Here is a 15,357-nt window from a genome sequence, read left to right as displayed (position 1 = left end):
TCCTCTTTCATTTTTTCATTGAGCAGATATTTCTCGAGTGCCAGGGACATGTTAAGCATAGTCATAACCACAGGGAATGAGGCCGTGAATACAGAAGAAACTGAGCAGTGCAGGGAGAGGGACAATCAGTGGAGAATCAATAAAACCCTAGAGCATGTCAGACCCCAGGTTCTAAGCCAAAAAGCAGGTAAGGGAGGCGGTGGGGGCAGGGTGGGAGTGGGGTGAAGACAACTGGGTCTCTAATTCCCTGGCCTGTCTCCTCCCTCCCTCTCAGTCGACACCCACCTGTGTCGCCCTGCACTTGCACACTTGGATAAAACATCACACCCACTGCCTGCCGAAGGGCCAGCCAGGTGCTGGAGAAAATGACCCCGGCCTGCAGGTGAATTTGCTCCCTGGAGGTGAAACTTGACCAGTGAGAAACAGGGGATGACAGAGCTGGACAGATGCATCCCCCGCCGTGTGCTGTCACCTGTGGACGCCTCCCAAATGTGATCCCTGCCTGCGAACACTTGCAGGATTCCTGTGTGCTGCACAGACCCAATGGCTGAGTGCTTTGGGGATGGTCATCGCAGTTCATTATGCAACTGGGAACATGTGGGTCCCCTCCCCCTCATCCTCACCACCCGGGGCTTGCACCTCCCAAATGAAGCATTAACACTGCAATCCCAGCCTCAGACTCTGCTTTCTGGAGAGGCTCAAACAAGAAGTCATTTTAAACATCCCAAGAAGGCAGCAACCTTGGGAAGAAAGGGCATTTGACAAAGACCTCAAAGAGTCGAGAGAAGAAGCCGTGTGCCTATTTGGAGAAAGAGTGTTCTAGGCAGATGTCTTATTCTCTTCAGGCTGTTTTAACAAAATACCATAAACTGGGCAGCTTATAAACAAGATACACTTATTCTTTACAATGCTGGAGGTTGGGAAGTATAAGATCAGGGTGCCAGCATGGTCGCGTTCTGATGAGGACCCTTCTCCGAGGCTGCGGACTGCTGACTTCCCACTGTGTCGCCTGGCATGGTGATGTGAACCCAGAACATCTGAGACGGGTCTCAGTTAATTTAGAAAGTTTATTTTGCCAAGGTTGAGGATGCGTGCCTGGGACACAGCCTCAGGAGGGCGCGTCCTGACGACAAACGCCCAAGGGGGTCCGGGCACAGCGTGGTTTTATACATTTTAGGGAGCCATGAGACATCAATCAATATATGTAAGAAGTACATTGGTTTGGTCAGGAAAAGTGGGACGACTTGAAGCAAAGACAGGAAGACTCCAAGCCGGGAGGGAGGGAGCTTCCAGGTCACAGATAGGCGAGACACAAAGGGTTGCATTATTTTGAGCTTGTTATTAGCTTTCCGAAGGAGGCAATTAGATACGCATCTATCTCAGTGAGCAGAGGGATCACTTTGAGTAGATGGGAGGCAGGTTTGCCCTAAGCACTTTCCAGCTGGAGTTTTCCTTAGTGATTTGAGGGGCCCAAGATATTTTCTGTTCACAGTGGAAAGAGCAAACACACCCCCTCAGGCTGCTTTTATAAGGATACTAATCCCATCAGTGTGAGCTCCGTCCTCACGACCTCCTCGCCTCCCAAAGGCCCCACTCCTAAAACCATCACCTTGGGCCTAGGATTTCAACAGCTGAATTTGGGGAAGACACAAACTTTCAACCACCGTAGCAAAGGAGGCAGCAGGTACAAAGGCCCTGAGATGGGAGCATTGCTTGTTTCCTAAGAACAGCAAGGAGGCCACCGTGGCTGGAGCAAGTGAGCGAGGAGGAGGGGAATAGGAGACGCTATCAGAGAGGAGGCTGGCGGCGGAGCCACGTAGGGCCTTGTAAACCATCAAGGACTTGGGCTTTTGGTCTGAGTGCAGTGGGAAGCTGTTTCCAGGCAGATTCTAGGCAGATGTCTTTGTCCATTCAGGCTGCTAGAACAAAGTACCCCAAATTTTGAGGTCTTCAGCAGTGGAGTGATGTGGTCTGACTTAAGTTTTAAAAAGATCACTCTGGCTGCTGACTTGAAAACAGACTAGAGGACAGTGATGGTGGAGGCAGGGAGGCCAGAAAGGAGGCTGTCTCAGTAATCCAGCTATCAGAGGGTAGGGGCTCAAATCAGGGTGGAATTAACAAGAAAAGGAGAGACTAGAAGAGGGTACATTTGGACAGCCCCGTGTGCTGACATACTGACCGTGGGGCACGGGAGGAAGATGCCATTCCAGGATGACTCCAAGGCTTTTGCTCCGAGCAAGTGGTCTGATGTCATCTCTGTCTCTGTCTGCTGGTGGCCTGGGGCACTGGCTATCCAGGATGGCCTCACTACAACTTCACCAATTAAGATTATTTGCCACAGTGCAGTATCTGCAAGGATCTGTCCACTTCTGGCTCACTGTCACTGATGCGGTCCAGCCCCTCGGGGTTCCAGCTCATGGCAGGTTTCCCAGGACAAGCTTTCCCATGGAGGGTCCTTGCATTGGTTTCCCGTGGCTGCTGTAACAAACTACTGCACACATAGTAGCTTAGAGCAACACATATTCACTTTCCTATGGTTCTGGAAGCTAGAAATTCAACATCCCTTTCACTGGGCCAAAGCCAAGGAGTGGGCAGGGCTGCACTTCCTCAGGAGGCCGCAGGGAGCATCTGTCTCCTTGCCTTTCCCAGCTTCCAGAGACGGCCACATTCCTGGGCCCCTGGCCCTCACTCCACCTTCAAAGCCAGCAGCACTGCATCCTACTGCGGTGGTCACGTGGCTTCCCCCTGGAGGGTCTAGTCTCCCTCTGCCCCTCTCACAAGGAGGCTGTCACCACATATGGAGTTCACACAGCTGATGGAGATGCTCTTCCCATCTCAAGGCCCCTCATCACAGCTGCAAAGTCCCTTCTGCCTTGCGAGCTAACAGTCCGAGTTTCCACAGACCGGGACCTGATATCTTTAGGGTCCAGCCTACCACAGCCCTGGACTCCCGTCCCTTAGCCACACGATGTTGTCAACCCCCGGCCAGTGTCTCAGAAAGCGTGCTCTAGAATCACAGTACCCCTAAATGCTGCATTGACCCCCCGAGCCTCTCTCCTCCCTGGATCCTGCCCCACCATTTCCTCACTGTCTCGTTACTTCTCCGACATCTCCACACAGAGGTCCCCGTTGTTATCGCTGTTACATTTTCTAACTGTCCTTGGAGGGAGGGTCAGTCCCACTCTGACAGGAAACAGATGTGTATCTTACTCTTTCTGTGCTGAAATGGCAGCAGGCGGGAATTTGTTCCCGAGTGAGAGCCTCCAAGGACTGACCATTAGGTTTTCTACGTGCCAGCACTGACAGTAGACTCTTGTTAGTCCCCATGACTTTAATTTAAAAGTCAACAACTCATCATAATTACAGCCACTTCAGGGCTCATAATCATTACCCCATTTGGTAATACTTAGAGCCATTATTTATTAATTACAAAAATATGTCACAGATTCCGGGCAGGCCCTTTGCCAATTATTGTCTCTTTTAACTCTTACACTAAGCCTGTGGTGTCAAGACCATCAGCATCACCCTGAAATGGACAAACTGAGGCTCAACAAGCTTGGGTAGGCTGCCAGGGCGGCACAGCCAGTGAGCGGCAGAGCAACGGTTTGGAGGGTTTCTGGCCCTGCAGCCCTCACCTGCAGGACGCCGTGCCTGAGAACTCGAACTAGGGAGAAACTGAGCAGGGCCACACAGCACGTGGCCGCAGAGCCCGGGCTCCTCAAGTCACATCCTGCCCCGTTCCCCAGTAGCTCTTTCCCTTTCAAATGCTTTCTCCAGCCCAAGTGAGTCAGCAGTCCTGGAACTCAGAAACAAGGTCAGTTCAACCCACCTTAGAGGCAGAATTGTTCTTCTCATGAATCTTCAGAAAACTTGGCTCACGCAAAACAACCCCGGCCTCTCTGAGCAAGAAGTAATTCTCCCGGAAACGCCCTCAGACTCCACCCGCACCGCCGGCTCTCCTGGGTCTCCGCCTGTGGCCTGCACTGCAGATCTCAGACCTGCAGGCGCCACACTCATGTGAGCCAATGCCTTATAATAAATCTGCTTCTACGTATATACACATCCTATTGGCTGTGTTTCTCTGGAGAACCCTAACGCAATTGTGTTGTGACTGGATAGAACATCCTTGCTCCTGAGACACAAGCTGCAGCATTTGGGGATTAAGTATCATGATGTCTGCAACTCACTTTCAAACAGTTCAGCAAACCAAAAAGAGTGTGTGTGTGTGTGTGTGTGTGCACACGTGTGAGCCTGTGTGCATGTGTGTGTATTGTAGATACTATTCCATGTGTGTATGCCCATGGAATATAGAATATATACACACACATACACATAGAACATGTGTGTGTGTGTGTATCCTACGTATATGTGTGTGTATATATTCTGCATTTTTTTTCTATGTATGTATGTACTGGAGAGAGTGGGAACAGCCACAGTTAAATGTTAAAACTGCTAGACCGAGGGAAAAGCATACAGATTAACATGATTCTACGTTTTCAAACTTTCTCTAGATTTTCAATGTTCCAAAATAAAAATGCAGGGCGGGGGCTGTCTGACCCCTTTCCCTGGCTCTCGGGATCAAGTCAAGACTCAGAGCCTGCTCTGGGAGCGGCTGGGTGTTGGAAGGGATCCAATAAGCTGCCCCCACTTTCCTGCCCTGATTCTGAACCAACTGAGACAACAGAATGGAGGAGCCAGCAGATGGGAACAAAATGTCACCTTGAAGATGGGCGACACTGGGGCTGGAAGGAATGGGGATTAAGAGTCACAACCAGCCTAGACCGAAGCAGCCTGCCCCTGAACGGTTTGCTTCTGCACACTCGGCTCTGCTTCCTACAACGCTGGACCAGGTAGAGCAGAGAGGAGAGCAAATCCAAAGACCCCCCAAGCCCTGGACCTTTGGTATCAAGATACGTGGAGCCAAGAGAGCCAGCCAACTTGCAGGTAACCACCCCACCCCTGGGGAGGAGTCAGGAACACAGCAAGGAGCGGGCAGCCTCGAGGAAAACCCCAGCTCGAGGAAGCCAAGGTGCACCCCTCAGAGGCCCCGCGGCTCTGCACACCTCAAGTCTGACTTTGCCCACCCTCTGCTCTGTGCTCTCCTCCCTCCTGAGCCTCTTAGGGACCCCAGACCCACCACGGCCTCGGCTGGGGTTCCCGTCCTTCCGGTCTCTGCTGCAGTCACCGCCTCGCTGGGGCCTGTGTGCCATTTTACACAGGGGTGGGTCCCTCCCCCAACCCCCGGGGTCACTGCTGGTGGTGTCCTTGCCTGCTGTCCAACTGCCTTGGAAAAGGAACCTGAGAGATGGCTCAAGCCCAGCCACCTTCCATGGTGGGAACAGGGACACAGAAAACTCACCATCATTGGCACAGCAGACTCCTGCTGTGACCCCTGCTAAAATAAGCATGAAAGCCAAGCTAGATACCAGATAGAGCTGAATACGGGTGTAAGGTGAGTGTGAACAGATCTGGGCATGAGATGAGCACACAGGACGGATCAGCACTGCTGCTGCACCAGGAGCTCCTTACCTGCAGCCTCACCATCCACACTCCCCTCTAGTATGTGTCTTCAACTTCCGCTTAACAGGAGAAGCTGCGTCCAGCACCTATGTTGTGGCTGGGCCCCAACCATCATCCCCCAATGTGGGGACACAGAGAAGGCTGCTCACTGCTGAAACCACCAGAACCAGACTGAAGCAGCCGAGGCAGCTACCCTGAGACCTGCTCACCCCTGGTCATACGCACCGGAGAAAACCACCCACTGGATGGGGAGGGGACTGGGTGAGGACGCTGCAAGCCTGCTCTCTGCAGCGTTATTCAGGGTGGTAGGAGTTGGAGATGGCCTGGGATCCTTCCTGGAGTGCAAGGTGGGTTAGACCACAGGGTGCCCTGCAGTCTCTGGAGGCAGCAGAGATGCCCCTGAAGTTAATAGGGATGGAGCTTTAAAACCCAAACCCAGTGAAAGCAAGTAACTGTGGGAGCTGTACAGTACAATGCCATTGACGTGGATATTACTTACATGCCTATGCAGGTGTTCACCAAAAGCCACATATACGTATCAGGTATAGAAGCACCGTGCCTGATAGCCCCAAACCAGAAACAACCAGTACCCATCCTCTGTAGAACAAATAGTTTGGGGAAGGAGGAGCAAGGGAGGTCTATACAGATGCTAGTGAAGTTCTGTTTCTCCAACTGGGTGCTGATGACACAGGCTAGTATATTTTGTGCAAATCCTTCCAGCTATGCATATGACCTGTACACTTTTCTATATATATTCTCTATATGTATGTTATTCTTCAATTAAAAGTTCACTCAAAATGCATGCACATGATTAGAGATCAATATACACTTTACAACCGGGCGCAGTGGCTCATGCCTGTAATCCCAGCACTCTGGGAGGCCCAGGCGGGAGGATCACTTGAGTCCAGGAGACTGATGCTGCAGTGAACTGAGATTGCGCTACTGCACCCCAGCCTGGGTGACAGAACGAGACTCTGTCCCAAAAATACATGCATATAGATTTATACACACGCACACCATACATAAGCAAAAATGCACATTAAACAACGTGAAGAAAAGTGAATGGAGAGAGGGGTAAAATAAAGGTGAATGCCCAGGTAGACATGACGTGTGAGAGGCCTGTGGGAAGTGCATACCGCGAACCAAGGTGGACGACAGACTCAACAGTTGGCCACTGAGGACAAAACAGAGGAATCAGGGGGTGAGGTGAAAGGGAGATGATAGGGCAGAAGCAGCCCCCGGGCCACAGTGGCCAGACTAGGTTACAAAAAGAGCAACTGCCTTCCCTTGTCGGATAGGTGGGAATTTAAAAGGTTGCCAGCATTCAGCACCACAAAAGTGTGGGAAAGTGGGGACTTCTGTGCCTTGTGCAATGGGACTTTAACTGGAACGGCCCTTTGGGGTCATTTCGACAATCCCTATGGAAGCTTTAAATATGTGACTTCGTTGACCCAGAAATTCTGCTTCTAGAAAAATACTTGGTTGAAGACTTGCAGGCACGCACAAGCATGATGTCCCCCGATGGTGAGGCGGCAATGTGTGCGCTAGCCAGAAAACCGGAAAACACCAAGGTGTCTCTTCACATCAGACTTGTGAAATAAGTGGAGAGTCGATCTGATGGAGACAGACCCCACAACCACTAAAGAATGAGGTGGTGGCCGGGCGCGGTGGCTCACGCCTGTAATCCCAGCACTTTGGGAGGCCGAGGCAGGCGGATCACGAGGTCAGGAGATCGAGACCATCCTGGCTAACACAGTGAAACCCTGTCTCTACTAAAAATACAAAAAAATTAGCCGGACATGGTGGCGGGCGCCTGTAGTCCCAGCTACTTGGGAGGCTGAGGCAGGAGAATCGCGTGAACCCAGGACGCGGAGCTTGCAGTGAGCCGAGATCGCGCCACTGCACTCCCGACTGGGCAACACAGCAAGGCTCTATCTCAAAAAAAAAAAAAAAAAAAGAGGTGGCTTTGTGCAAACTTATAATGGTAAAGCCAATTGACAGGGTGGGGGTGGGAGCCAGGTGCCAAACCACAAGTCCCACACCCTCCTGTCTCTGGAACAGAGAATTATGATTTAATACCTGTATGCATTCGCAGCAAATCTCAAGGACTCCACCCAACGGTGAAGAATGGTCACTGCTGGAGTGGAGTTACGCGGCCAGGGGTTTTCTTTTTATACCAGCTAACATTTACATTCTTTACGGAAGGCACACACCATTTCTGCAATTTTTTAATTAAATCTGGGTAGCAAAGATCCTCCCATATGGTTTACATCTGTTGGGACAGAGTTAGTCTAAAGCTGTAGTTCAGTTCCTTATCAGGAGATGCAACAGGGTAAAACCCTTCGTGACTGTCAGCTCTGTTCGCATATTGGGAAAGGATGCAAGCTGCGAACGGGAAGGTCAGTTTCTAGTCCCGGAGGTATGAACCAGGCCCTGGGTCTCAGGTTTGCTGGCAGATTACAGTTGGAGGGGCTGAACAAGATAATTTTCAACTTCCCCTCCAGAATCTTGTTCTAACAGTCATCCCCTCTCCCGGACACCTCCCCAGCTCAGCCCCTCCACCTGCCCCTCATAACCTGCAGCCCAGCCCCCAGAAAGACCTGTGGTTTCATCATCTGCCGGAGGGCTGCGACCTCTGAGAGTGTAGTGAAGGCTGAACGAGATAACTGCAAATGCTCACAGCCCAGGGCTCAGTGTTGCCTGCTGAGCTGGGACTACCAGGCTCCTTGGTTTCCTGCTCTGGCCTTTGCCCTCGCAGTTCCCCTCGGGGTGAAGAACACACCTCGGCCCTAGCTGCTGCTCCTTCCCTCCTAAATGGCTTCTTGTCACCCTTCAGAACTGAGCTGAGATGCCATGGGGCTGGAGGTAGGAGCCTGTCACCACCAGACCATCCCTCCAACTCTTAGTCATCTGTCTTGTCATTAGCAAGTTACTTGTCAGTTACACCCACCCGTAGGTCTGGGGGCCACTGAGGTTTGTAATGGTGTCATCTCTTTTTTATTCTTCAACTTTTAAGTTCAAGGTACATGTGCAGAATACACAGGTTTGTTACATAGGTAAATGTGTGCCATGGTGATTTGCTGCACAGATCACCCCATCAACTAGGTAGTTCAGATGTGGTTATGGGAGGAAGGGAGGGAGTTGCCTGACCACCACGAGTGAGGTGGCTGCAAGCCAAGGAGTGTGGAGGATGGCCCACAACCACCAGAAGGCCGGCAAGAGTTATGAATCAGACCGTCCCTCAGCCCCAGGCAGGGCCAACCCTGCCGACACCTGGACTTTGGACTCCAGAACTATGAGAACTGTCGTTTGAGGGCAGCCAATTTATGGTGACTTGGTTCTCCCACCTTAGGAGACAGAAGCACCCCCTCATGGGCTGTCTGCTCCACTCTGGGGCCCGGGTGACCATGGGGCCAGGGGAGCAAGGCTGATGGCTGATGTTCTCCCCTGCCCTGGGTCCCCCATCCCGGGAGAAACCCAGCATCGTTCAGCAGCCACCTCGTTTTCCCCGAGCTGCTCCACTGGAACTGGAAGCTGCTCCACTGGATGGCAGACGCCCACCCAGTGGAACCCGTCTCTAAGGACAAAGCCGCGGCACAAGGGAGAGAAACCAGGGGACTTGCAGATCTGCCTCCGATGAACATCCACACATTGCGTGGGGTGTGATGAGGCCACCTCCTATGTCACAGTCCTGCTGAAGCCACCTTGGAGAGAGGCTGTCGGAAGCCCATGGCCCAGGCCAGGGGTGAGTCCGGCCAACCCTTGTTTCTGAAGGGGCCGTCCTGTGGTACATCAGCCCCGCCCTGCCGGGTTCCAAGCAGCTTCTCCTCGCAGCTCTCAGAAACATCAGTGTGGCCAGAGCTCAGCATGTAGGGCAGATTCCCCAGGCCTCATGCCAAGACGTAAATCTTGGCAACCCCGGTTTTCCCACTGTCCTTTAGCTGCTCAGGACAGCATGATGCTGCTTCTGGACACACATGTTTATTTGGCAAAAGCAAATATTCACCAGGGGCCTTTCTCGACAGGAGAAAAAATGGCAGAAGCATCCTCGGTTCAGCCGGTGTGGTGCCCTTGTCTTTCTTCTCCTCTCCATGGGTCTGCTCCTGAGCCCCGCTGTCCTCCATGTGTTTAGCTAATCTCAAGGCTTCTTGGGATTCATCTTTTGTCTTCATTTGCTCAAGGGCAGAGTAGTCCCTGCCAAAGACTGACTCTTCCAACAGACAGCCTCCTCCTTCCCCGAGTTTCACCCCAGTGAGAATCCCAGCCCTAACCTGGCTGGGCACCTGCCCAGGGCACCCCGGGTCCTCTGTGGTGGAAGCTGAATTTTCATGCTTAGTTCAGCTTAGCTGGAAACCCCAAGCAGACCAGAGCACGAGCAGGCAGCACGGCTGGGAGGCGTTTACTCTCACACCGCTTTTAACAAATGTGTGCTCCCAATGTGTGCTGGGCTTTCCCAGCAAGACTTCACCTGACTAGTTGACATGAAGCCCGGGGACCCCAGTGAGTGTAGAGAGCCAGGCCCATGTGAAACAGCAGCGGGGAAGGTCCCTAGACCCAGACACCAAGTCCCCCCGAGGCCAACCAGGACCTCCCCCAACAGATGTCGGATGTGTTTCTATGAGGCTCTGACCCACCCAGAAAAGCCACCTCCCATGCCAAGTCAGGAATCATGACCTAATTCTGTGTCTAATCTCTTTCCAAAAGGACGCCAGTCCTATTGGATCAGGTTCCACCCTAAAGACTTCATTCTACGTTAATGACCTATTTTTTTATTTTAATTTTTATTTTCTTTGAGACAAAGTCTCACTCTGTCACCCAGGCTGGAACATAGTGGTGTCATCTCGGCTCACCACAACCTCTACCTCCCAGGTTCAAGCAATCCTCCTGACTCAGCCTCAGGAGTAGCTGGGATTACAGGTGCGCACCACCACACCGGGCTAATTTTTGTATTTTTAGTGGAGACAGGGTTTTACCATGTTGGCCAGGCTGGTCTCGAACTCCTGACCTCAAGTGATCCACCCGCCTCGGCCTCCCAAAGTGCTGGGATTACAGGCGTGAGCCACCACGCCTGGCCTAGACTTAATGACCTCTTTAAAGGCCCCGCCTCCAAATACAGTCTCATTCTGAGGTCCTGGGGGTTAGGGCTTCAATACCGAAATTTGTGGGGGACACAAGTCAGTCCACAGCACTGAGCATCTCCGTTCACTTAGTAGAGTGAGAACCCCCCAGGTATTTCTGGGGGTTCCTTTGACGGAAGCTGTGAAGCTCAGAACATTCTCCCTGTGACAGAGTCCGTCCAGGTCCACTGTTGCCTTCTCCCCTCCCCTTTCCAGGCTGAGACGGGCAGCACCTCCCAGCCCTCCTTGCGGCCAGGTAGGGCTGTGGGCCTGGGTCTACCCCCCACAGTGTGGGAAGATGTGAGGTGCACCAATCTGGGACCCAGCCAGAGCATCCCAGGGGTCATCCCCGCTCCCCGGTCCACCTCCATTCCCCATGGAAGCTGTGAGGGAGGGTGCCCCACTCCAGGGTCACTGCTTGGAGAGAGTTGCCAGGAGGGCCAGTGCCAGGAGCTCCCACGCCGGGCTCCTCGTTGCCGGGCCCTGAGCTCTCGGGTTATTTGTTACCGCAGCACATCCTTGTGTCCCTCACATTCCCATGGGCCAGACAACGCTCGTCACCCCTCGGCAATGCCAGCAGCAGCCATTCACCGACTCACACAGTCCCCTCTCATGCTCCAAACAAATGTCTCCTGGGTACTGGCACGCCAGGCTCTGCAGCTGAGTCCCGGGGTGGAGAATCAAACTGATTCGTGACACAGGGGTGATAGCGGAAGCCCGGGAGGGGCACCAACCAGGAACTTGGGATGAGGGAAGCCCCCGAGTGCCCTGGTTAAGCAGGCAGATGCTGGCTTCAGACAGGCCTGGTTTCAAATCTCAGCTCCACCCTGTGCTAGCTATGAGACCTAGGCCATTCCCTTAAACCTTCTGAGCCTCAGTTTTCCCACCTGTGAAATGGGGCCCAAAGTCACAGCAATCCTACAGGGTTGTGTTGTGGGTTAAGTGAGACAATGAATGGCAAGGGCTTATTTAGCTCAGCACCCGGCCCAGTGGAAGAGAGCAATGAACACTGGCAATCATTGTCACTATTGCTATAGTTTTGCCATAAGCTGAAACCTGAAACCTGAACCAGGAAAGGCAGTGTCCTGTGCTCAGGCCCAGAGGCAAGAGGGAGGGCAGCAACATACCCAGATCGCAGGAGCCGATGGGCTGGAGCCGGGGAGCCTGGGTGAGCGTGGCCAAGACAGCCCTGCAGAGCCAGGCTACAGACCTGGGCCCTCCCGTCCCGCAGAGCTGCAGGGTCAGGCTTGCCTGTGATGTACTCACTCCCACTGAAGTGTGAAGGGCACACAGAGGCCAGCAAGGGAGGAGGAGGCTCTGGAGATCCAGGTAGGAGCTGGGGGGCCCAGGCCTGGGCAGGCACAAGGGAGGATGCCACAGAGATGAGAGCTCTTTAGAAGGGAGAAACAACAAGAACCGGCACCTGTTACGGCAGGTGGGATGAGGCCGAGGGTGGGGTGGAAGTGTCCGTGCCATCTTTCGCCATCCACGGCCATCTGGAGGCACAACCTTCGCCCTGTAGAGCACTCGGGCCGCCAATGCACGAGGCCACTGAGCACCAAGGAGACGTGGGAGTTGGGTGTTGGGAGGCAGATCCCTGCACCCACTGAGCTTCCAGACCCCCTCGCAGTCTGAACTCACAGGATGAGTTCTCATCTGCGCGCACAAGTGAAGATAATCAATCTCCATTTGGGGCAGGAAAGGGGGATAAGCATTGCTACACACAGGAGAGACATAGAACGATGGCTCCGAGAGACAAACACGATGAATAGCCGGGGGTATGATTGATGAGGGGAGATTCAAGAAACCAAAGCTGGATAGCCAAAGGGGGAAACTGTGTCAGAACAGAGGTGCACGGAGGGGAGGAACACTGGCTCCGAGAAATTCCACTGCGGGGCTGATCTGTCGGGTGAAACAGCTTTTCTCTGTCTGGAGAAAAGCTGACAAATGAACAAGCAGTCTGTAAGAAATGACTTTTTAATGTCGAGATGGGATTGCCTGCCAGGTAGCAGAGAAATGCCCCATGAGAAGCCGAGACAGGCAGCCCCAGGCCCTGGATGGCAATTAACATGGGGTCTGCCCACGTGGGGGAAGCCAGGCCCTCGTTGCCCAGAACCGGCGCGCACAGGCAGGGATGCGGGACTCTGCGGCTGACAGAGGGGCTGATGGTCCTGTGACCTGACCCTCAAATGTGCCTGTGGTAGTCAGGGCTTTCCAAGGGAACGGAACAGAACCAGAACAGGGAGTAGGGGGGCTGGTTATTTTTAAGAAATTGGCTCACCTGATGGTAGTGTCTGGCCAGTCCAAAATCTGCAGGGCAGGCTGGAGACCCAGAGAAGAGCTGATGGAGCAGATGTCACAGCTTGAGTCCTGAGGCCGCCCGCAGACAGAATTCCCTCCTCCTTGAGGTGGCCAGGCTTTTTCTCTTAAAGTCATCAATGGATTGTATGAGGCCCACCCACATTGTGGAGGGTCCTCAACGTTACTCAAAGCCCAGTGATTTAAACGTTACTCTTGTCTTTAAAAATTACCTCCATAGCAATATCCAGACAGGTGTTTGACTAAATGTCTGGGCATCGTGGCCCCGCCAAGCTGACCCATTCCATTAACCATCGAGGGCCCCTGTTGGGGCATATTTGTCCTTAGGGGCCTCCGTGTCCTCCGCCCGGTGGGGGGACGTGGTGAAATAGGACACAGTGCCACCCTCAGGAGCCCACAGCAATGGGATGTGCAGGAGGATAAACAGCCCTCTCCTCCCTGCCCACACTTCCTGTCCAGCCGAGAGCCCGACACAGGGTTCACACTCTCCTAGCTCAGAGTGTGGGTTCTGTTACAATTAGGCCAGGATGAAAGAAGGGGCTCCTTGGTGCTGTACCCCAGAATGAAACTCACTCACTGAGTCACAGCAGGGCTCAACAACCACGGGCCTCCCCCATTCACCCCAGCAGCTGAGGGCAGTCCAAAGCTCACTCTCTCTCTCCCTCTCTCCAGGCAGATCCTGGAGAACCTTAATAACAGATACCTACTCTATGCCAGGCACCATTCTAAGTCTGGTAAGTAATAATTCACAGAACCCTCTCAACAGCGCAATGCCCATTTCATAGATAAGTAAGCCAAGGTGGGGAGGTCAGGTAAGTTGCCCAAGGTCATAGCCAGGATTCGGACCCAGACGGTCAGGCACTCGGCCCCAACCCTACAGAGTGCCTTTCAGAAGGAAAGCAGGGAAGGGGCTGAGCATGCCATCCTCCCCCGCAGACTCACTATCTGGGAGTCCCTCCTGCTTCCCGAGGGAGGTGAAAAAGGGATGGGAGAGAGGCGAGGCGGGCACTGGATGTCAGTCCAGCACAGGGTTGCCAGATAAAGTCGGGATGCCCAGCTAAACTTGAGTTTCAGATAAGCAACAAATAATTTTTCAGTGTAAGTATATCCCAAATGTTGCATGGATTCTCTCCACGTGGACATGGTGGGTACATCGGCTCATGCTCCTGCTGACAGCCATCAGTGTCCATTAGAAGGGAGCCCCGGGGCTGCAGAAGCCTGGGGGGACATCCTTGCAGGGAATAGATCTCAGGGGTGTTACCCTCATCCACCACTCCCCCATGCTGGGCTCCCACTCAGCATGGGTGCTGGGACACAGGCAGGCTTGTGAGGCACACACTGAATCACAGGGTCGGTGAGAAGGGCAGGCCTGTGGCCTTCGTGGAGGAGGTAGCTCAGCTGCCCAGGGGCAGCAGGGGGAGTGACACCAAGCTGGAGACTTGAGAGACCCTGGCACGTCTGCATGCGCATGGCTGGGCCTCCGTTTCCTCACCTATAAACTTGGAGTAATGACCCCTCTTCAAAGTGGAGTGAGGCACGTCCCTGCTCCTGGGGAGCTCAGGGCTCGCCCCATCCTAGGTCTCCATGCTGGGGAATCACAGGGGATGAACAGATGCCTCCTCAGGCAATTGCCAAGGTCATGGGGGATGATGGGAGGCCGGGAAGGCCTGAACCTTCCCTCTGGGACCAGGGACTGTGTTGGGGCTGAGGGGAGCCAGGTGGGACAGGCAGGGAAGACAGCAGGGTCTCCAGGGAGGCCAGCGCTCAGCAGCAAGGACAGGAGCAGGAGGGCTGGGAACTCACAGGTGAGAGGCCGTCAGGATGGGGTGGGCGCTGGGGAAGTGGAGAAAGCTGTGCCAGGCAGACCCAGCCACCAGCAGGGAGTGGAGGCAGGCGGTGGCCAGCCCTGGTCAGTCCAGGAGAAGCTGGGCTCTGAGCAGGGGCAGGTCATCTCGAAGCTCCCACTCCTACTTGGGGGTTGACCTCCACTCTGCCACTTACTAGCTGTGTGACCTCAGGCGAGTCACTGAAGTCAGTTTCCTCATCTGTAAATGGAGACAGTAACAGTGCTTGCCAGCAGGGATGTCGTGTGGCTTCAATGAGATCACGGGAAGCAAAGCACTCAGGCCTCAACTGGCTGGAAATGAGCCGCCTCTTGCCGTCACATTAACAAGGCCACCCCATAGCACCTGCTTTCTTAAATTAGGTCTAAAATATGACACCTTGGGAAACATAAGGCAGTAACTATTAACAGCTAGACACGCCCTGATAACATTTTGATCCATTTCTTCAGGATGATTTTTCTTCACATTTTTTTCATGTATGGATCCTATGGTATGCCTAATTCTGTTTTGCTTTTTTCACTTAGAAGGTAACCGTAAGTATTTTTCTGTGTTATTAA

The 15,357-nt window shown here is 53.4% G+C and overlaps 2 annotated features.

The window, feature by feature from the left end:
* Nucleotides 2,310-3,288: an enhancer, noted in NCBI's record as "H3K4me1 hESC enhancer chr4:7158079-7159057 (GRCh37/hg19 assembly coordinates)". NCBI's record gives its function as "activates a minimal SCP1, AML or CMV promoter by ChIP-STARR-seq in naive H9 embryonic stem cells {active_cell/tissue: H9 hESC(naive)}" and the evidence as "EXISTENCE:reporter gene assay evidence [ECO:0000049][PMID:30033119]".
* Nucleotides 9,213-9,713: an enhancer, noted in NCBI's record as "H3K4me1 hESC enhancer chr4:7151654-7152154 (GRCh37/hg19 assembly coordinates)". NCBI's record gives its function as "activates a minimal SCP1, AML or CMV promoter by ChIP-STARR-seq in primed H9 embryonic stem cells {active_cell/tissue: H9 hESC(primed)}" and the evidence as "EXISTENCE:reporter gene assay evidence [ECO:0000049][PMID:30033119]".

Source organism: Homo sapiens, chromosome 4 (assembly GCF_000001405.40).
Source record: "Homo sapiens chromosome 4, GRCh38.p14 Primary Assembly".
Lineage (NCBI taxonomy): Eukaryota > Metazoa > Chordata > Mammalia > Primates > Hominidae > Homo > Homo sapiens.
This window is presented reverse-complemented; position numbering and strand designations above follow the sequence as displayed.